This window comes from Homo sapiens, chromosome 1 (assembly GCF_000001405.40).
Source record: "Homo sapiens chromosome 1, GRCh38.p14 Primary Assembly".
NCBI lineage: Eukaryota > Metazoa > Chordata > Mammalia > Primates > Hominidae > Homo > Homo sapiens.
This window is the reverse complement of record NC_000001.11, coordinates 179048374-179070574: the sequence shown is the minus strand read 5'-3', so window position 1 is coordinate 179070574 and position 22201 is coordinate 179048374. Positions and strand designations below refer to the sequence as shown.

General features: G+C 41.2%; 1 protein-coding gene across 7 annotated transcripts in view; it reads right to left on the bottom strand.

The window, feature by feature from the left end:
• Window positions 1-22201, bottom strand: part of FAM20B (FAM20B glycosaminoglycan xylosylkinase) — a 59234-nt gene that overhangs the window by 5993 nt on the left and 31040 nt on the right. For all 7 annotated transcript variants that reach the window (XM_047436093.1, XM_047436094.1, NM_001324310.2 and 4 more), the window contains 5 exons: window positions 20210-20296; window positions 15937-16046; window positions 6477-6648; window positions 6079-6270; window positions 3716-3775 (listed from right to left, as the gene is read on the bottom strand). In XM_047436093.1, the coding sequence (XP_047292049.1) occupies window positions 3716-3775; window positions 6079-6270; window positions 6477-6648; window positions 15937-16046; window positions 20210-20296 (621 nt within the window). The remainder of the gene's footprint in view (window positions 1-3715; window positions 3776-6078; window positions 6271-6476; window positions 6649-15936; window positions 16047-20209; window positions 20297-22201) is intronic.

Here is a 22201-nt window from a genome sequence, read left to right as displayed (position 1 = left end):
CCAGCCTGGGCAAAAGAGCAAGACTCCATCTCAAAAAAAAAAAAAAAAAAAAAAAAAAAGGCGAGTTCAGCCCCTTGTTGCCCTCTCTCTTTGCCCTTTTGCCTTCTGCCATGTGACATGATGACACAGCAATAAGTCCCTTGTCAGATGCTGGCACCTTGATATTTAACGTTCTAGCCTCCAGAACTGTGAACCAATAAATTTCTGTTCATTATAAATTACACAGTCTGGCCAGGTATGGTGGCTCATGCCTGTAATCCCAGCACTCTGGGAGGCCCAAGGGGTCAGATCACTTGAGGTCAGGAGTTCGAGACCAGCCTAGGCAACATGGTGAAACCCCATCTCTCCTAAAAATACAAAAATTACCCGGGCATGGTGGTACATGCCTGTAATCCCAGCTACTTGGGAGGCTGAGACATGAGAATCACTTGAACCTGGGAGGCGGAGGTTGCAGTGAGCCAAGATCGCGCCACTGCACTCCAGCCTGGGCAACAGAGCGAGACTCCATCTCAAAATAAGATAAAATAAAATAAAATAAATTACCCAGTCTGTGGTATCCTGTTACAGCAGCACAAAACGAACTAAGACACCAACTATAGCATATCTTTTATTTAAAATCTGAGAAGAAAAGTTCTTAGCTCTCTGTGGGTAAAGGAGGAATTACTGGGTATGCAGAAATGTCTGATTCTGTAAAAGGCAGCCTGTTGTGCAGCAATTTAAAAGGTAAGAAAGACTGCTGCATAAAGCATGCATGGAAGGGACAAACAGGCACAGACGGAGTACAGTTATTTTTATTCTTAAATATATTACAAATGCCCAGAGCATCAGAGCTTCCTCTGTGAGACTAAGTTATTATGTTACTTCCTCTCAGCTCCAAATTCACTCTTCAAAATATGCTCTGCTGGCCAGGCACGGTGGCTCATGCCTGTAATCCCAGCACTTTGGGAGGCCAAGGCGGACGGATCACCTGAGGTCAGGAGTTCGAGACCAGCCCCACCAACATGTTGAAACCCTATCTCTACTAAAAATACAAAAAATTAGCTGGGCGTGGTGGCAGGTGCCTGTAATCCCAGCTACTCAGAAGGCTGAGGCAGGAGAATCGCCTGAACCCGGGAGACAGCGGTTGCAGTGAGCCGAGATCGTGCCACTACACTCCAGCCTGGGCGACAGAGCGAGACTCCATCTCAAAAAACAAAACAAAACAAAAACAAAAACAAAATGTGCTCTGCTACGACGGATGGGATTCCTTTAAGCATCTTTCCCCTAAAGCATTCTCACTAGAGGGCGCAAAGGGGACACTGCAGGGTGAAGGGGCTCTCCAAATGCTTCTGTGGGTCAATGGTGGTGTTGGGGAGGCAGAGAGGTCATCCACTGAAGACCTGTCTAGCCACACTCCCAGAAGGTGTGGGTCCTTGGTGACCTGAAGCCTTAGCCTGGCCTGGGGATAACTCTCCCGAGGCCCTCTCAACATGGAAACCAGAGCTTTGAAGGCCATCTGCTCACCCTGGCCCCAATTCCCTCTGAAGGCCCACGTGTGTGCCTCACTTGCAGCACAGAAGGTTTCTACTGGATTCTCTCTCTCCTTCTGCATGTCATGACACCAGCTGTGGCTTGAATGTACACCCCACCTGCACTCTGGAGAGTTGCTTCTGGCTTGCTCAGCACCTGCAAACTAGCAAACTTCTCTGCTATCTGGTGGGCTGAGCTAAACCTTCTCCACTGAAGTCCAAACTCCAGTCATTGGGAGGGGATCCCCTTCCAAGTTTGTCCTTCCTTGGGTACTCTCCCTCAGCCCTTTTATAGTCACTCCTGTTATTGGAATTTAATAATTCTTTATATTGGGTCGGGCGCAGTGGCTCACGCCTGTAATGCCAGTAGTTTGGGAGGCCGAGGCAGGCAGATCACAAGGTCAGGAGTTCTAGACCAGCCTGGCCAATATGGTGAAACCCCGTCTCTACTAAAAATACAAAAATTAACCAGATGCAGTGAGGGGCGCCTGTAATCCCAACTACTTGGGAGGCTGACGCAGGAGAATCACTTGAACATGGGAGGTGGAGGCTGCAGTGAGCCGAGATCGCGCCACTGTACTCTAGCCTGGGTGACAGAGCAAGACTCCATCTCCAAAAAAAAAAAATTCTTTATATTAAACACCTCTGTTTATCACACTATGTCTTTGCTATCTCCTGATTGAACCAGACTGATAAAACTACTACCACAAAAACATCTTCAAAGACAAACACACAATTCTTGATTGTATATATCACTGCTTCCTATCATTAATAAAGACAATGAAGGACAGCCTGGGTAAACTGTTACTTTCTACAGAATTTTGTTGTCATTTAAAAAAAGAAAGAAGATTAAGAGACCAGTTGCTATGGCAGTCTTATGTGATATGATGTTGCTGGGAGCTGACCAGTATTAAATGGTGCTCTTGAACTTGTTTTTCTGTGTAGCCAAGCAAGGTGGATCCCAGCTAATTCTTGATGTGCGTGCTCTAAAATTACACCAGGATGGTCGGGCGCGGTGGCTCACGCCTGTAATCCTAGCACTTTGGGAGGCTGAGGCAGGCGGATCACTTGAAGTCAATAGTTTGACACCAGCCTGGCCAACATAGTGAAACCCGTCTCTACTGCAAATACAAAAATTAGCTGGGTTTGGTGGCAGGTGCCTGTAGTCCCAGCTACTCGGGAGGCTGAGGCACAAGAATTGCTTAAACCCGAAAGGCAGAGATTTCGGTGAGCTGAGATCGCACCACCACACTCCTACCTGGGTGACAGATGCAGACCCTGTCTCAAAAAAATAATAAAATAAAAAATAAAATAGTAAAATAAAATTATTTCAGGAATGATGAAAAGAAGCTTCTTAGAGCTTAGACTTTATCTCATTTTCTTGACTCATTTTTCAATTTCTCTGTTCTCTAATACAGAGTTTTTTTAAAAAAACCAATTATTATTTATTATTTATTTTTTTTGAGACAGAGTCTCACTCTGTCACCCAGAATGGAGTGCAATGGCACAATCTCGGCTCACTGCAACCTCTGCCTTCCAGGTTCAAGCAATTCTCCTGTCTCAACCTCCTAAGTAGCTGGAATACTGGTGCCTGCCACCATGCCCGGCTCATTTTTGTATTATTAATAGAGACGGGGTTTCGCCATGTTGGCCAGGCTGGTCTCGAACTCCTGACCTCAGGTGATCCACCCACCTTGGCCTCCCAAATTGCTGGGATTACAGGAGTGAGCCACTGTGCCTGGCCAAAATAAATTATTATTTATGGAAAAAGTTACTTTTGGTTTAGACAATTTCAAACTGAAATATGTAAACCCCAGGTGGTATGTGATGGGTGAGTGAGAGGAGTTAAAACCACAAGGTAACCAGGTGTAGTAACCAGGCATACAGATTTTACTCCTTTTTTTTTTTTTGGCAGTGGGGTGGGGAGTGTGGGTGATTATATTCTGCTATTAAACCAAACATGTATTACTGTATACATACAATCTTCTATTCATACAAAATTTGAGATGAATTCTGAGCTTTGGGTTATCTGCCTTCACCTTTCCCTGATATCCCATTTCAGGATGTCCAGAGGTTCTAGGTTGGAAAAGTATGAAAAGCACTGCTCAGGTATCAGAAAGTTTGAGGGCCAAGAAAATGGATGTACTGTTACCTGAGCCTGGAAAAGAAGGCAATGCAGGCACATGTATTTGCTGTGCATAACTTACATGCAACACTGATAGAGAGGGGCAAGAATGCTTCTTTCATCCAGCGAGGGGTTCCCAAAGCTGAAAATTAAATTAAAACTTAGTGAATTAGGTGGAAGTACTGTTCTCTTCTTAGCATCAAAGCAATAGCAAATTCTATATGAAACTCAAATGTGATCCTAGATAATTTCACGCTCCAGCAGCTCAAATCACTTAAATTGAAAACAAGCGGGGCATGACCAATTAGACACAGGATCCCTAACAGCCTGTACTAAAATATCTGACAACAAATATACTCATTTACAAGGGACATTTTCCTGCCAAGATATCACAAGGTGCTGGAGCATAACTATGGTAAACACAGTGCGGAGTTCACAGACCAAAGGGAGAACTTGAAGACCCCTAAGCCTGCAAAGGTTTTAAGGACCAGAGAGAAATAAAAGCCATTTATATTAGATTCCCACAAACAAGCAGATGACCATTACTTGTAAAAAGAAGTCACACTTATTCTACTCCCAAATTAGCAATATCCTATTCCCTACAAGTAAGTATAAGTACAGATTCAAATTGGAAAAACTGTTCACACAGGCTGAGGAAACTGATTCACAGCAGATGCAAAAATTACCTTAGCAGCAATTCAGAGTTAGAAAAGGAGAACTGATTCTGGAAAACTGTCAACCTTTCAATCTTTCCAGAGGCTCACCTTAATAGCTAGAGTCTGGTAGCCCTTAGTACAGTGTAGGTCCTCCAGTAATTCAAGGCAAAGGCAACTGCTATGGTCTGAATGTTTGTGTCCCCCTCAAATTCGTAATCCCTGGTACAACAGTCCAACAGTATTAAGAAGTAGGGCCTTTGGGAGATGATTAAGTTACGAGGGAAGAGCCCACATGAACGGGATTAGTGCCCTTATAAATGAGGCCAGAGGGAGCGTGTTTACCTCTTCTGCCATATGAGGACACATAGAAGGCACCATCTGAGAAACAGGCCCTCACCAGACACTGAATCTGCTGGCACCTTCATCTTAGAGTTCCCAGCCTCCAAAACTGTAAGCAATACATTTCTGATGCTTATGAATTACCCAGTCTAAGGGATTTTGTTATAGCGGCCCGAGTGGACAAAGCAACTATTTTGATATACACCAAATATCAAGTATCATGTGTATCACAGGATGAGTGCTATGTGCTTTGCTGTAATGGGGTAGAGGGAGAGGCAGTGTTTGCTGGTTTTTCATTTTCTGTGGCCATCACCATCTTTCACAAAGCATGAGGCGCCTGGTGTTCAGTATAAGATGGTGGCATCATTAGCAAATGCTGCCCAAGCACTCTTTGCTGAGGAGCCATGTCTTAGCTTATTTCCAACAACCAATGTTAACAGTAGTGACCTAGGGCCTGGAAAATTCTGTACTCCAAGGAAGCGTTCTATTTAGTAAATATTTATTAAATGCAACTAAAAGTGTGGCACTACACCTGTAATCCCAGCACTTTGAGAGGTCGAGGCAAGCAGAGCACTTGAGGTCAGGAGTTCAAGACCAGCCTGGCCAAAATGGCGAAACCCTGTCTCTACTAAAAATACAAAATTAGCGAGTGCCTGTAGTCCCAGCTACTCAGGAGGCTGAGGGTGGAGAATCGCTTGAACCCAGGAGACAGAAGTTGCAGTGAGCTGAGATTGTGCCACTGCACTCCAGCCTGGGCAACAGAGCAAAACTCCGTCTCAAAAAAACTTAAAAAAAAAAAGTGTGGCACTAAACCGGCCACCACAGAGAATGCAGAATATGAAATGGAAATACAATGTGCTCTCCAAATAGCTCAGGCCTAAAAAAATAAGGACATTCTATTTATTCAAAATGAATAAACATTTTTTATTCAAGATAAAAGTAACTTGTTGTTATATATAAAATCCACACTAGGCAACAGCTCTTCTTCCCATGACAGCAAAAGTATGGACCTAGACAAACACAAAAATAGCAAAACATCCTACCAAATAAATTAATTTTTTAATTGCAGGAACCTTTGGATAGAATAAATTTAACGACAAATTCCACACTCTATTACATCTGTATTTCTCAAGCTTCTAAACACCAAATATCATAGCCAAGAAAGAACGATGTAGGTAGTAACAAATGAATAACCCTGGTTTTCCAGTTGTCTGAGAAGAGGCTCATAGAGTCTTAGACTCCTTGGAAGAACCACTTTTCCATTTTTTGAAGTACTGAGATCCCTGAGAGTGGAGAGAAGGACAGGTACCAATAGCAAAGACTCCAAGTGGAAAAAAGAAGGATGTTGCCTATCAATTGCATTCTGGATATTCTCCAGGATGCTCTGGAAAATGCCCTTCTTTCATATACAGAAACCCCTCCCTGACAAGGACAGTCCTGCTGGTCTCACCTTTTGGCATTATCAAGAAGGATGAGCATACTAGCGCCTTCATCATCTTGAAAGCTCTCATAGTGATGGCGGTCAGCATTGCCAATCAGGTAATCAAAGACAGCTGTGTCAATGATGTCCAAGAGGCGCGGGCCAGAGTCATAAGGGGACGTTTTCTTCACAGCATCACAGTAGCTCTCATCATACTCCCACCTGGAGACAAGCAGCATCACAGCACTGAGTGACAACACTGTACCTGGCACTGTTACACACAAAGAGAAGACAGAGTTCCTACCTACCGGTTTGCCCCTGACTCCACAGTTCTTTTCACTCTTGGACAGAACTGCTGGCTCCTTTACAGAGTTGGCACCTGGCTAGGCACAGGGGAGAATTAAGTAATGGCTCATAGGAGCATTTACCTGGCCAATTTGCCTTCTCGGTAAGTCCTGCCCCATGGGTGACGGTGCTTCTGCAGAGGCCACACATCTGGAAGCCAAAGTGTGACAGATCCCTCCATTATGTCTCCATCAGCACAAGCTGGTTCTGTTTCTCGGCAGTAATAGCACTTCCCATAAAAACAAGTATTGTTTCCTAAAGGACAGAAAGGAGCCAAATACACTTAAGGAAATAACGAAGACTCCAAGTTCTCTCCCAAATAATGCAGAACAGAGTAGCTAAGTAAATAAGCATGGTGAAAACAAAGACCCTGAGTTTACTATATTTCAAACATTTATTTTCCTGTATAGGTAATAAAAAAGCACACGGTGTAAAAAAAATTTAAAAAGTACAAAAGGATATACACCCAAAAGTAAGTTGCCCTTGCCTCCTGTGTCCTTTCTACCCAGTCTCACTCTCTGGTGTCAACTACCATCACCAGTATCCTTCAAATTCACTTTTTGTTTGTTTTGTTTTTGTTGTTGTTGTTGTTTTGAGACAGGGTCTGGCTTTGTCATCCAAGCTGGAGTGCAGTGGCGTGATCTCAGCTCACTGCAACCTCTGCCTCTGGGGCTCAAGCCATCCTTCCATCTCAGCCTCCTGAGTAGCTGGAACTATAGGTATATGCCTCCATGCCCAGCTAATTTTTGTATTTTCCTGGTAGAGATGGGGTTTCGCCATGTTGGCCTGGCTGGGCTCAAACTCCTGGACTCAAGTGATCTTCTTACTTCAGCCTCTCAAAATGCTGGGATTATAGGCATGAGCCACCATGTCTGGCCTCTAAACTCACTATTTTATTTTTTTTTGAGACTGAGTCTTGCTCTGTCGCCCAGGCTAGAGTGCAGTGGCAAGATCTTGGCTCACTGCAACCTCTGCCTCCCAGGTTCAAGCAATTCTTCCGTCTCAGCCTCCTGAGTAGCTAGGATTACAGGCGCATGCCACCATGCTTGGCTAATTTTTGTATTTGTAGTAGAGACAGGGTTTCACCATTTGGTCAGGCTGGTCTCAAAACTCCTGACCTCAGGTGATCCGCCCACCTCAGCCTCCCAAAGTGCTGGGATTACAGGTGTGAGCTACCGCGCCCGGCCTGAACTCACTTTAATTAAAGGAAAGTAACATCCTCCTCTTCTTCATTAGGGCTGAGATCTTGGCCAGAGTGCCCAGGGGAGGGCAAAAGAGGTCATGTACTAGGCCAAGTGTGGCCAAGAGTTTGGTTACATAGAGGGGTAGGTATAGAGGAAGGGGGGAAGTTGAGCAAATAAGTAGACAGACTGAGTGTAACAGTAACCAGGCTTCTCACCAGTGGAGAAGAGAGTTAAACATACAGAAAGAGAGAAAGCCAGGATAAATCCTGCAGTGGTGAATTAGAATTGGAAATACTAGTTTGAATTGATGGGTGTTTTTTTTTGTTTGTTTTTTGTTTTTCTTTTTTTGAGATGGAGTCTCGCTCTGTTGCCCAGGCTAGAATGCAGTGGCATGATCTTGGCTCACTGAAACCTCCGCCTCCCGGGTTCAAGCAATTCTCCTGCCTCAGCCTCCCGAGTAGCTGGGACTACAGGCGCCCACCACCATGCCAGCTAGTTTTTGTATTTTTATTAGAGATGGGGTTTCACCATATTGGACAGGCTGGTCTCAGAACTCCTGACCTCATGATCCACCCACCTCAGCCTCCCAGAGTGCTGGGATTACAGGTGTGAGCCACTGCGCCAGGCCTGAATTGATGGTTTTAATACACACAGATTCAGAAAAAGATACAGATGTATCTTGTGTGTATGTATGCACACATATACATATATTTCCCACCTCTGTCCTTCAAGAGAACATGGAAACAATGACACCCAGGAAGTAATGAGCACACCTAGCGCCCACAGGGTAGTTCCTAAATACCATTTTAGTACCACATTAAAAGGAATTAAGGAGTAGTGGTGTGCACCTGTAATTCCAACTACTTGGAAGGCTGAGGCAGGAGGATCGCTGAAACCTGAGAGGCAAAGTTTGCAATAAGCCGAGATTGCGCCACTGCACTCCAGCCTGGGAGACAGAGCAAAACTCCATCTCAAAAAAAAAAGGAACTAGGGTTCCTTTTAATGATCCTGGACCACAGTGTTATGCCAGTTGCAAGAAAGTGCTTGGAGAATGATGGGACCATTCCAAAATGACACAGGAACTAGTTTGTAGAGGTTCCCACCGGCCAAATGTGGAACAGTTTAAGCATCCAAATAATTATAATGGTCATAAATTGTAGCTCATAGTGAGTTCATGGTGATATAAATAAGCACATGAATGTGTGGAGGCAGGGGAGTTCTACCCTTCAACAGAATGACAACTAATAGGTCTAGAAGCAACGATAGAATGAAAAAAATCATCATTTGATGACCAGGAACTGTGGCTCACATCTGTAATCCCAGCACTTTGGGAGGCCAAGGGAGAAGGATCACTTGAGCCCAGGAATTCGAGACCAGCCTGGACAACACAATGAAACCTTGTCTCTATAAAACTAAAAGTAAAAACATTAGCCAGGCATGGTGACTCATGCCTGTAGTCCAAGCTACTCAGGAGGCTGAGGTAGGAGGATTGCTTGAGACCAGGAGATTAGGCTGCTGTGGGCCATCATCGTGCCACTGCACTCCAGCCTGGGTGACAGGGTGAGACTCTGTCTCAAAAAAATAAAAATACAAAAATCATCACTTGGTGATACTGCTGAGAGAGAGCATTTCAAAAAAAAAATCACCATTTGGCAACTATCATACTAAGTGAACTCCTGATCACTTGAGGTCAGGAATTTGAGACCAGCCTGGCCAACATGGCGAAACCCTGTCTCTACTAAAAATACAAAATTAGCTGGGAGCAGTGATGTGCACCTGTAATTCCAAATACTCGGAAGGCTGAGGCGAGAGGATCACTGGAATCTGAGAGGCAAAGGTTGCAGTAAGCCGAGATTGTGCCACTGCACTCCAGCCTGGGTGACACAGCAAAACTCCATCTCAAAAAAAAAAAAAAAAAAAATTCGACAAAGAGTATTTACATCTCATGTCACAAAAGACTATATGCCCTAGGGATGAACTCCTATACGTCAGTAAGACCAATGACACAGCAGAAAATGAGCAAAGGATATGCAAAGACAGTTAACAGAAAATACAAATAGCTCTCAAACAAAAAGATGCTTCATATGAAATACACAAAACCAAAAGTTTAATAACATATTGTTGGTGAAGCTAGCAGAAAGAGTCACTCTTATATATTTCTATGGGAATATAAACTGGTTAAACATCTATATAGGATAATGTGGCCACACCTATCAAAACTTAAAATGCACGTGCCTTTTGACCTAGCACTCCCATTTCTAGAAATACTTGCTCATGTGTGAAATAATATATATGGGTGGTCCCCAACCATTTTGGTACTGGGGACTGGTTTAGTGGAAGACAATTTTCCACAGACAGGGGTTGGGGACTGGGTGGGAATGGTTTCAGGATGAAACTGCTCCATGTCAGATCATCAGGTATTAGATTCTCATAAGGAACGTGCAGCCTAGATCCTTCACATGTGCAGTTCACAATAGGGCTTGTGCTCCTATGAGAATATAATGCTGCCACTGATCTGACAAGGAGCTGGTGCTGAGGCGGTAATGCTCGCTCACCCCTCACCTCATGCTGTGCAACCCAGTTCCTACCACGCCACAGACTGGTACTATTCCGCAGCCCAGGGGTTGGGGACCCCTGACATATATACAAGGTAATTCTGGGCAACACTGGTTGTAAAAACAAAATATTGGAACAACATTTAAGTCCAATAAAATTCTGGTTATATGAATTATGGTAGACCCAAATAATGGAACACTTTGCAGTGTGAAACAACAAAACAATGAAGCTCTTTTGATGTGATACAGATTTCTAGAATCTATTAAGTAAAAAAAGTAAGATGCAGAAGTATGCAAAGTGTGCCATATGTTGTATAAAATGGTAGAGATAAATAAAAAAATATATATATATTTCATACAAAAAGACATAAGGAAATTACTAGTTAAAGGTTGCCACTTGGAGAAAGGGGAAGGAACTAGACAGACGAGAAAATTTTTCATTGAATTTCACAGAATTTTTTTTTTTTTTTTGAGACATAATCTTGCTCTGTCTCCCAGGCTGGAGTGCAGTGGCATGATCTCGGCTCACTGCAACCTCCACTTCCCGGGTTCAAGTGATTTTCCTGCCTCAGCCTCCCAAGTAGTTGGGATTACAGACGTGCACCACCACACCCGGCTAATTTTTATATTTTTAGTAGAGATGAAATTTCATCATGTTGGCCAGGCTGGTCTCAAACTCCTGGCCTCATGTGATCCTCCTGCCTCAGCCTCCCAAAGTACTGGGGTTACAGGCGTCAGCCACCGCACCTGGCCTGAATTTCCCTGAATTTTGAATTGTGTGAATCCATTACTGATTCAAATAAAAATGTAAAGCCCTAAAACAAACAAAATACTGCCTGGTATAGGAAACCTGTTTCCTATAGGATACAATCCAAACTCTTGAGTTTGGTAAGTAAGAATCTTCATAACTAGAAGGGAGAATGTGGGGTCTGAGGTCAGGTTCCTGGGGTTAACATTTAGACTAGTTTAATGATGAGATTGCAAGACTCTGGGCATGTAATTTAGTCTCTCTAAGCAACTTCTGTAAAATGGAGACAACAATAGTACCTCCTCCACCACTGAGTTGTGAAGAGTGAATGAGGCAATCCATGGCAATGCTTAGCACAGTGCCTGACATATTGTCAGACACCAATCGATGCCAGCTACTTATTTTAATAACATGGTTCGATCTACCTTTCCAGAGTTCAATATCCCTGTTTCAGTACCATGAGCTGAGGCTCTGAACCTCTATTTCCTGGATTGCCAAACTTTTAAAAACTGGTTTTCTGATCAACTCAGTCTCCATGCTCTCCTTGGGTGAACTACCAACTGTGACAAGAATGTCTATGGCTTCAGCCAAGCCTTTTCTCCTAAACTGTAGGCTTTAGCTCCTAAATGATTAGTCTACACTTACTCCTGGATGTGCCTGTGAAGGAAACAAAATATCCAAGATTAAATTCATTATCTTTCTCTGCTCCACCTCCCTAAATATGCTCCTCTCCCTACATTCCTAAAATAGTTAACAGCTCCACTAATCATTTGTCATCCAATCCAGAAACCTAGGAGTCATTCTTAATTTTTTCTTCTCTCTCAATTGCTCTCCCAGCCCAAATGTTCACCAAATTCTTTCCATTCCAACTCTTGAATAGCCCTTAAATCTTTCTATTCCCTGTCCCTGCTTTAGTTCTCTTATTACATATGAATTCACAACACTCCCAGAGTGCTCTCAGCTCTTGATTCTCCCCTTCCCAATGCACCCTTGACAATGCTGCCACAATTCGCTCTTGAAATTCAAATCTGATTTTTCCATATTCAAACTCTTTTAATGGCTTTCTAGTGCCTAAAGAGAAAGTCTCTACTCCTAAGCATGGTACACAGGCCCTTCAGTGACACTGTCCTGACCAGCTGTCTTCCTCACTGGCCAGCCCCCACACATCCTTTCCTTCAGCTAAACAGCACAGTCTCCTGAGCTTGTTGCTCTTCTCTCATTGCTCATCACCCTTGTCCAGGCTCTGTCCTCTACCTGGAACAGGGTCAACTCATAGGGTCTGTAAGCTGGATGGGAACAAAATTACATCTTTATTTTCACTAACCTCTACTAAAAATTAGCATTTCCTTCTATTATGATGGCAGGGAGCAAACCGTCATATTTGTATTACATGTGACTTTGTCTCTACAAGAAATCACGGATTTTTCATATCATACTAGCATTGTTGCAGATAACCTCAAAATACTATTTATAATCATAGTTTGAAATCACAGTAGTGACTAATCTGATAGATCTTATTTAATGTGTTAAATAACAAAGCACATATTACTGTATCTAAATTTGCTTTTTAAAATTTTTGATACTGAAATTATACTTCAATATTATTGGTTTCATTTATAAGTCTATGTATTTTAATTTCTGTATGTATTTAAAACCTTTATTTTTAGAAAGGATCTGTAAGCTTTTCCAGACTGCCAAAGGTATCTATAGCACAAAAAATGTTAAATACAAACCTAAAATATTCTTTCCCACTGTATCTACCTAAGAGACTGCTATTTTCCCTTTAAGACTTGGTTAAAATATCACCTTCACGAATTATCACCTGGCCATAACTTCTTGGCCACCTCCCTATTCCCACCCCCACCCCAACAGTCCATAGCCCCTTTGTACATGTCTGGCTCCCGCACTAGACAAAGATCCTTGAAGATAAGAAGGTCATTCAGTTTTGCATATTCAGCACCTAGCTCAGTACCTGTCAAACAGAAGTGAAATAAAGTCGTACTGAATAAATAAAGACTATAAGCTAATGAAAGATTTTAGAGTCTTAAAATCTGAGTTTGGATCCTGGCTAACAATTAGTAGTTTTGTGACTTTGGGAAAGTCATTAGACACTTCTAAGCCTCCACTCTTAGGTATAAAATGTGGGTAACACCTCACCTACTTATTGCATGCTATTGTCAAAAGGATCAGATAAAGTAACAGTGTGAACATACTTGGGTAGGTTGCCGGGGCTACACAGATTTTAGTTATTCTTGTATTATAGGCCAACTTACTTAATAATACATTTTAAAAATTGCATCAAGAGAATGAAACAAGTTATACATTTGAAGAAAATATTTTTTTTTTTTTGAGATGGAGTCTCACTCTGTCGACCAGGCTGGAGTTACAGTGGCGTGATCTCAGCTTACTGCAACCTCTGTCTCCTGGGTTCAAGCAACTCTCCTGCCTCAGTCTCCCAAGTAGCTGTGATTACAGGTGTGTGCCACCATGCCCAGCTAATTTTCGTGTTTTTAGTAGAGACAGGGTTTCACCATATTGGCCAGGCTGGTCTCGAACTCCCGCCCTCAAGTGATCTGCCCACCTCGGCCTCCCAAAGTGCTGGCATTACAGGCATGAGCCACCGTGTCCAGCTGGAGAAAATATTTTCAAAAGACACATCTAACAAAGGACTTTCGGCCATACCATACCAAGAACTCCTAAAACTTGACAGTAAGAAAACAACCAACCTAACTTAAATATGAGCCAAAGACCTTAACAGACACCTCAGCAAAGATATACAGATGACAGAAAAACATATGTAAAGATGCTGTACATTATATGTCATCAGGGAGATGCAAACTAAAACAATGAGATACACCTACTAGATTAGAATAGTCAAAATCCAAAATATGACAACATCAAATGCTGCCAAGGATGAGGAGCAACAGGAACTCTCTCTTTGCTGGTGGGAATGCAAAATGGTACAGCCACTTTGGAAGACAATTTGGCAGTTTCTTACTAAATGTACTCTTACTATATGATCCAGAAATCACACTCCTTGGTATTTACCCAAAAGAGCTGAAAACTTATGTCAATACAAAAAGCTATACACAGATGTTTATGGCAGCTTTATTCACAACTGCCCAAACATGGAAGCAACCAAGATGCCATTCAATAGGTAAATGGATAAACTGTGGTACATCAGACAATGGAACATTAGTCAGCAATAACAAGAAATGATAAATCAAGCCATGCATGAAAAGACATGGAGGAATCTTAAATGTGTATTATTAAGTGAAAGAAACCACTCTGAAAAAGCTATATACTGTGATTCAACTATGTAACATTCTGGAAAAGGCAAAATTATGCAGACAGTAAAAAGATCAGTAGTTGCAAGGGGATTGGAGAGAGGGGTGGAGAATGATGAATAGGTGGAACATAGAGGATTTTTAGATCAGTGAAAATACTCTGTGTGATACTATAATGATGTATACATGTCATTATATATTTGTCCAAACCCACAGAATGTGCAACACCAAGAGTGAATGGGAATGTAAACTATGGAGTCTGGGTGATTATGATGTGTCAGTGTGGACTCATCAATTGTAACAACTGTACCACTGTGATGTGAGATGTTGATAATGGGGGAAACTATGCATGTGACGGGCAGCGGTTATTTGGGAAATCTCTGTACCTTCCTCTCAGTTTTGCTGTGAACCTAAAGCTGCTCTAAAAACAATAAAGTCTAAAAACACAACAATAACAACAAGGTTATGCTAAGGTCAGACGATTATTAAGAACTTTACCTCCAGCCAAATCCCTCTACCTATTACTTTCCAGTCTTTATGCCCTTGTTCTCATTAATATTCCCATTATTTTGCCAATGCCCTTTCCTCTTTGCTGCCTTGGTAACTCATACTGGTTCTTCAATACTCAGTTCAAGTGTTAATAACCTCCTCTACAAATCCTCTGCTTTTCCCTTACCCACACTTCATACAATGTGTGAGTTGACCATCTGTGAGCCTTTGAAGAGCAGGTACCCTGGCTTCTTCTTCTTGGACTCTTTCCCTCAATCCCAGCACCCACCAGGAATTCATGCTTGCTAAACATAAAACTGAACAACCAAAGGTGATTAGAAAATATCTGAAACAAATATCTGATACAATATCTAACATTGTATGCTTTTGGTTATCTATAAGAAAAGTATAGCCCAAGCCTTATAAGTTGAAATTCTGAATGATGAATCTGTCATAAGTCCTTTAAATATTCAGTTTTTCCTCATTTTAAATGTAAATCCACTCACTCTAGCAAAAAAAAGCAAGGTGAAGTTCATCTTGCAATGTCTGTTTCAACAGTCATGCCCTAATGCAGAGCACTGTATCACTGAAAAAGAGTCAAGGTGAAGAGGTGGAAACAAGAAACCACCGCACTTTTGAATTCTTCCCATTCTCATCTTGCTCACAACAACAGGAGTGAGAATTTTAGCTCAGATCTCTTACCTCAGAGTTAAGATAATGGAAAACAGAGGCCAGGGGCAACATAGCCAGTTCCAGGCACAATGAGTTATAGGTTAACCCTTGCAGAAGGAGTAGGCCTGTTGATCTTCCAGGTCCAAATACAACCTTACAAAATAATTTCTGAGCCTCCTAAAGAGTTGCCTTAAGATTTCCTCAATTCTAAGGAGATGGGAGACAGTTCCTGAGGAAACATATTATATATGTAAAAACAACTGAGCCAATGATATACAAACAATAACCAATTTAGGCCAAATTCTGAGTTTGAGACTTACTAATAGCTCTAAGAGAAAGCAGAAGGAAATAATCACCTGCTTTCACCATCACTAAATGACCTCACTCCCTATGTCACAGACAACACAAAGTATACAGGAAAATTTCAATTTCCTGCCATCTCCTTTAGATTCATTTTCCCAAATAACCTGAGAGCTGGTTGTCTGATTTGCTTTTGTATTCCACTGAGTTCTTCAATTCCTAAAAGTCATGAGCCAGCTTGCTCAACAATGCCCCATTTTAACTTATTAATCATTCCCCTATATAAATGTCCTCTACAATCTTCTTACCTACAGTTAGGAAGGTGCTCAACAGCTGCTCTGTGGCGACAGGTTTGATCTCTGTCCGAAGATTAACAAATCTGCCAACTACCAAGGGGGCTCGGTGGAAACCCAGAATCCTGGTTTGGAAGATTGAAGAACAGAAGAGAAAAATCTTAGGGGATGTTTTTTAAGTAACAGTCTTAAAAATTACAGTTCATCATGTCAAATGTGTAAAGGGTTTTTAGCTAGTAGCTAAACCTAATTTTTTAGAGGTACATATATTTAGGAATTTAATGTGAAGGTGTGTATAATTTATTTTAATATACATTTCAGCAAAAAGAATAAGACAAATCTGATAAAATGTGAACACTTTTTAAATCTACAGAGTGGGTATATGGGCTCATTATACTATTCTTTCTACTTTTGTATGATAGAAATTTTTTCATAATAAAAATTAAAAATAGATTTTAGGAAAGTATTAGAAAAAAAATGGGACCCAAACTCATATATGGGTTCAAATCTTTAAATAAAACAGCATGTTGGTTAAAAAAAAAAAAGCAGACTGATCTAAAAGGCTAAGCCCACAGAGCAAATTAAATATAGAGACATTTGAAGATATCTCTAATAATCTAAAAGGTTGAAAACAATGATTTATTTTAAAAAAATGAAATTTCCTGGCTAAAAAATATACACCAACTGAACAAAAGTTGGAGGGGCAGAATTTGGAACACACAGAAAATTTACAATGAAGAAAATAAAAATCACCTATGATTCCACAACCCAGAAATAATTACAGGTGCTGACATTCTGGCATATAAGCATGCTTTCCCTTTAAGTGTGGGTATATAAACACACACTCACACTTACGTATATACATACAATCGAGATTATATTGTATGCAGTTTTATATCTTGCTTTGTACTCATCATTGTATCATGAACCTTTTCCCCAGTCATTAGAAAGCCTTTACAAATGGCTATTGTTTAGGGCTGCTGATTCTGTCCTAAACACAGTCTTAGAAAAGCCACAAAGGCAAGATCAACAGATTTGTCAAAATAACATAGAAATCCAGAGATACCCCCAGAGGCAAGGGAAGGTGGTTAAATCTGACTGTAATGAAGAAACAGCAACCCAAAGCAGAAAAGTATCAAGATCCACAAATGGAAAAGGTTGGGAAGGGTTTTTTGTGTGTGTTTTGTTTGTTTGTTTGTTTGTTTGTTTGGGTGGTTGGTTTTTGAGTCTCACTCTGTTGATCAGGCCAGAGTGCAGCGGCATGATCATAGCTCCCTGCAGCCTGGAACTCCTGGGCTCAAGTGATCCTCTCACCTCAGCCTCCCTGGTACCTAGGACTACAAACGCAGCCTAGATTGGGAAGTATTTTTTCTTCCCATTGAAAATTGCCAAGCCCAAGAACAGCAGCCAGTTTAGCATTGAGGGGCAATGTTACTGTGGCACTTGAGGCTGGCTACGGTGGCACTTAACAAAAGTGACAGGGCGACTGGCAAGAGAACATCTTTCAGACTTTGAGGTAGGGAAGGACTTTTAAATACAAGACTCCCAAAGCCCAAGTCACAAACTGAAACATTATAGTTAGTTAACATCAAAAGTACACAAATACTCTAAGATAACAAATAGGTGTCCTGCTGTGAAAAGATAAACTTTGCCAGTAATGGGGAAATACAAAATAACAATGAAATAACAATGAAATATCACTTTACATATATATCAACAAAACTTAGTGTGTTGGGCAATACAAAACACTGGTACAGAAATGAGGAACTTTATGCCTGTTGGTTTCCAACAAACAGGATAGGAAGAAGGGAGTTGGGGACGAAGAAAAGAGGCAAACAGATAAGGTCTTGGAAAGCCTGATTCTAGTGTGCCATTAAGTGAGGAGAAGGATTTATCCAACTGTCCACCACTAGGTCTTAAAAGGGGCAGCAAAAATTCATGGTATTGTACACACATATCTAAGCTTTTCCATATCAATAGATGTTTAGGTTACAACCAGTTTTCCCACTATTGAAAATGCTACAGCTAAGACTGTTGTATATATATCTTTGAATTTTGTATTCTTTCTCTAGGGTAGTTCCTAGAAATGTCTTAGATATGTGTATAAAAAAGCAGTTATTTGTTCAAAGGATATGAACATTCCTTAATGTTGATATATTTATCCTTAATTTTGATATATAATGCTAGGGTTCTTAACAAAAAGACTGAAACAATTAACAATGCCATAAGCAGCATATGAATCTCAATGTATTCCTCCCAATAAAGTATTATCTTTTTTTTAAGCTTTGCCATTTTCAACAGGTAAAAACAGTATCTCATCTGAATTTTTAAAAATTTCTGGTGAGGATGAACCTCCCCCCACCCCACATATTTATTAGCAATTGACAATGTTTATACTCTTAACCCATTTTCTAATAGAGTTTTAACATACATATGTTTGTATAAACACATATTAAGACCATTAATATTTGTATAAACACATATTAAGGCTATTAATACTCAGATTACATTAGATTCAAGTGTTTTCTCCGTTTGTTGTTTGCTTTTAAATTTTGTCTCTTGCTATATAAGTTCATTATTTTATTTAGTCAAGACTATTGAATTTGTGATTTTTAAGTTATTGCTTTTATGTTTACAAAATCCTAATTCAGAAAAAGACAAACATTTCACCTTTTTTTTTCTGGTTTCCTTATAAATTCATTTTTAGGCTGGGCGTGGTGACTCACGTCTGTAATCCCAGCACTTTGGGAGGCTGAGGTGGGCGGATCACCTCGAGTCAGGAGTTCCAGACCAGCCTGGCCAACATGGTGAAACCCCGTGTTTACTAAAAATACAAAAAATTAGCTGGGTGTGGTGGTGCGTACCTGTAGTCCCAGCTACTCGGTAGGCTGAGGCAGGATAACTGTTTGAACCCAGGACGTCGAGGTTGCAGTAAGCCAAGATCAGGCTACTGCACTCCAGTCTGGAGGACAGAGTGAGACTCTGTCTCAGAAAAAAAATTTATTTATTATTTTATTTTATTTTATTGAGACAGGGTCCCACTCTGTTGCTCAGGCTGGAGTGCAGTGGTGTGATCACAGCTCACTGCAGCCTCGACCTCCCAGGCTCAAGCAATCCTCCCTCCTCAGCCTCCCCACTAGTTGGAACTATAGGCACACGCCACCACACTCAGCTAATTTTTGTATTTTTTTAGTAGAGACGGGGCTTCTCCATGTTGTCCAGGCTGGTCTTGAACTCCTGGGCTCAAGTGATCTGCCCACCTCAGCCTCCTAAAGTGTTGGGATTACAGGTATGAGCCACTGCATCCAGTCATAAATTAATTTTTTAAAACAAATATTGTTAGCAGTTTCTTTTAAAGTCAGCCAATATGGCCTTATGAAAGAGCTGGTCAGCAGAGTAACTGGGATACCAGACAGTTCAGCTGCAAGGTTCCTGACTAGTAACCTGCTGAAAAAGAAAAAAAAAGAATTTTCCTAGTTAACTTACAAACTTATAATTCACATCTATTTTCTTTCCTTTTTTTTTTTTTTTAAAGACAGAGTCTCGCTCTGTCGCCCAGGCTGGAGTGCAGTGGCACGATCTCGGCTCACTGCAAGCTGTGCCTCCTGGGTTCAAGCGATTCTCCTGCCTCAGCCTCCCAAGAAGCTGGGACTACAGGTGCCTGTCACCACGCCCAGCTAATTTTTTGTATTTTAGTAGAGACGGGGTTTCACCATGTTGCCCAGGCTGGTCTCGAACTCCTGAGCTCATGCAATCTGCCCACCTTGGCCTCCCAAAGTGTTGGGATTACAGGCATGAGCCACTACGCCTGGCCCTTTCCTTTTGTAATTATTCTGGTTTTTGAAGCTGTGCATAGTTTGTATAAAGAATAATAAAACTCATATTTCATGCTATATGTTTCCAGCACATGGAAATAAGTCAGCATTACTTACTTAAAACAAATACATAACAAAACAACAGGATGGCTAGACCCAATTAACGACCAGTTCAATTCAGAGATTTAAGTTCAAAGTTTATTTACCAAGAATATCTTCACTGATGATAATAACAGAGCAGGCCAGAAATGAAATGACCTAAAGAAGCATGGAAGTAAAATACTTCAGTATTCCTGGTGCCAACCAAATTATGAGACTCATACAAGTTTAATGGAACTAGTCAATTAGCTATCTAAAATCGATAACAAGTTATTTATTAGTGTTGCATCCTTCTGAAGGAGTCCACGAGTCCTCTCCAAGAAAGATTTTTGAAAGCAAACAAAATGAACATAAGCTGCTGTGATCATACGCACCTGTCCAAGTGAAAGGCTGCTACCTCTGCATTGTGTCTATCATAACCAGCATACGGTTCCCCTTCCACCACATGGTCTCGGCTATACCTGCAAAGTGAATGGGAAGCACAGATGTATACGTGGATTACACCAGTAACAGGTGACAGCACAAGTGGTAGAATACACCCATTAGCAAGCCTGATTCTGCTATAGTCACCTTCTCTGTCAACCCTGCAAACAACTGTGGATTAGCATGAATTGCCGGTAGATGGAATGAAGATGAGGTAGAGAAGGAAACTAGAATTCTCTATCTACGTCACCAATCATTCTAAGAATAAAACATGGAAGCTGTCATTTTTGCCCCACTAAAGGGCTTTTGATGTAGTTTTAGTACAGATAAAAGGTAGTTTTCTGGAAGGCAAGGACTGTCTTTGTATTGCCAGCACAGTGTTAAGCACATAGTTGGTGCTTAATAAATGTCTACTAAAATGTTTATTAGACTGACCTGAAGAAATGAAGAAAAATGTGTAATTAAAACTTTTGCTGGCCAGGCACGGTGGCTCACACCTGTAATCCCAGCACTTTGGCAGGCCAAGATGGGTGGATCACCTGAGGTCGGTAGTTCGAGAACAGCCTGGCCAACATGGCGAAACCCCATCTCTACTAAAAAACACCAAAATTACCTGGGTGTGGTGGTGAATGCCTGTAATCCCAGCTGCTCAGGAGGCTGAGTCAGGAGAATCGCTTGAACCTGGGAGGCGGAGGTTGCAGTGAGCCGAGACTGTGCCACTGCACTCCAGCCTGGGCAACAGAGTGAGGCTCTGTCTCAAAAAACAAAAAACTTTTGCTTACCAGAATGGCTGTGGCAAAGCTTATAAGAGAAATTTAAATTTGGGGGAAAATAGTCTGATATAACTCAATCTTTGTTAATGGGAAGGCAACAGCGCTTTTGAAAAAAGTTGTTTGAATAACCATTCTTGTTCTTTTTTTTTAAGTTTATGATGACGTACTACAAGGAGTCCTGGACTGGCAGTGGGAGGTTGGTGTGGCTGTCATTACTTGACTGGGTAAGCTTGAGCAAAACCTTTCTCTTCTCTGGGTCTCAGATTCCTTACTTACAATATTAGGGGCTGGACTAGGAGGTAATTTCTAAGGTCTCTTTCATCTCAGACTGCATTCTGATGATTTTCTATCACATGTATGACATAAGCAAAGGATAATGAAGACTGGCATATTTCTTTCTACTAACCATTTTAAAAGATAGAATTTAAATCTGTTAATTAGGAAGAAAAAAGTACTTAATTCACCTATGTCCTCTCTATTGGTCTCCTGCATTTCCTGAATCTAAAGGAGACCTTTTAGGCTTTACAATGGACCTATGAAATAGAAATAAATTGAGAGTGATGTGGAGAAGAGAGGTTCCACTAAGGATAGTTGGCTCTCTCATGCTAAAACAGCAATAGGGAAGTGGAAAACAGTACTATAAAAGGCAGTGAACTTCAACTTAAATGACCTTAGAATATAAAGTGAAATCATATCCACAAAATATATCTTCAAGGCAAAATGATGAAGCATTTGTTAGAAGACAGCCATGTATCACCTTCTGGTTGGGCACCAGTTTCTTCTTAGCATGGTCAATATACCCAAATGTAATTTTTTGTTTGTTTGTTCCTAGTGCAAAGGATTACTTAGGAATAATTTTTTAAAAGGTTTATATTAGCTACCTCTAAATTAAAAGTCAAATTTGAAATACCCCTGCAGCAAAAAGCTGACACTATTCAGGTACTGTTCTACTACAGATGTAGGCTATCCTTGAATACTTTATTTTTAGTACTTCAGGGCAGCCACAGGAAGGTATGTGGTGAAGTGCAGTATGGTCCTTTCAGTGAAACATTAGAGAGCTTTCCAATCCATCTAAAGGCTGCGCAGAGTAAAATGCAAAAGCTTAGAGGAATACAGGAACTTTGGGAGTGGGCAGGAGAGGAAAAGATGGAGGGAAGAGAAAAGGAATAA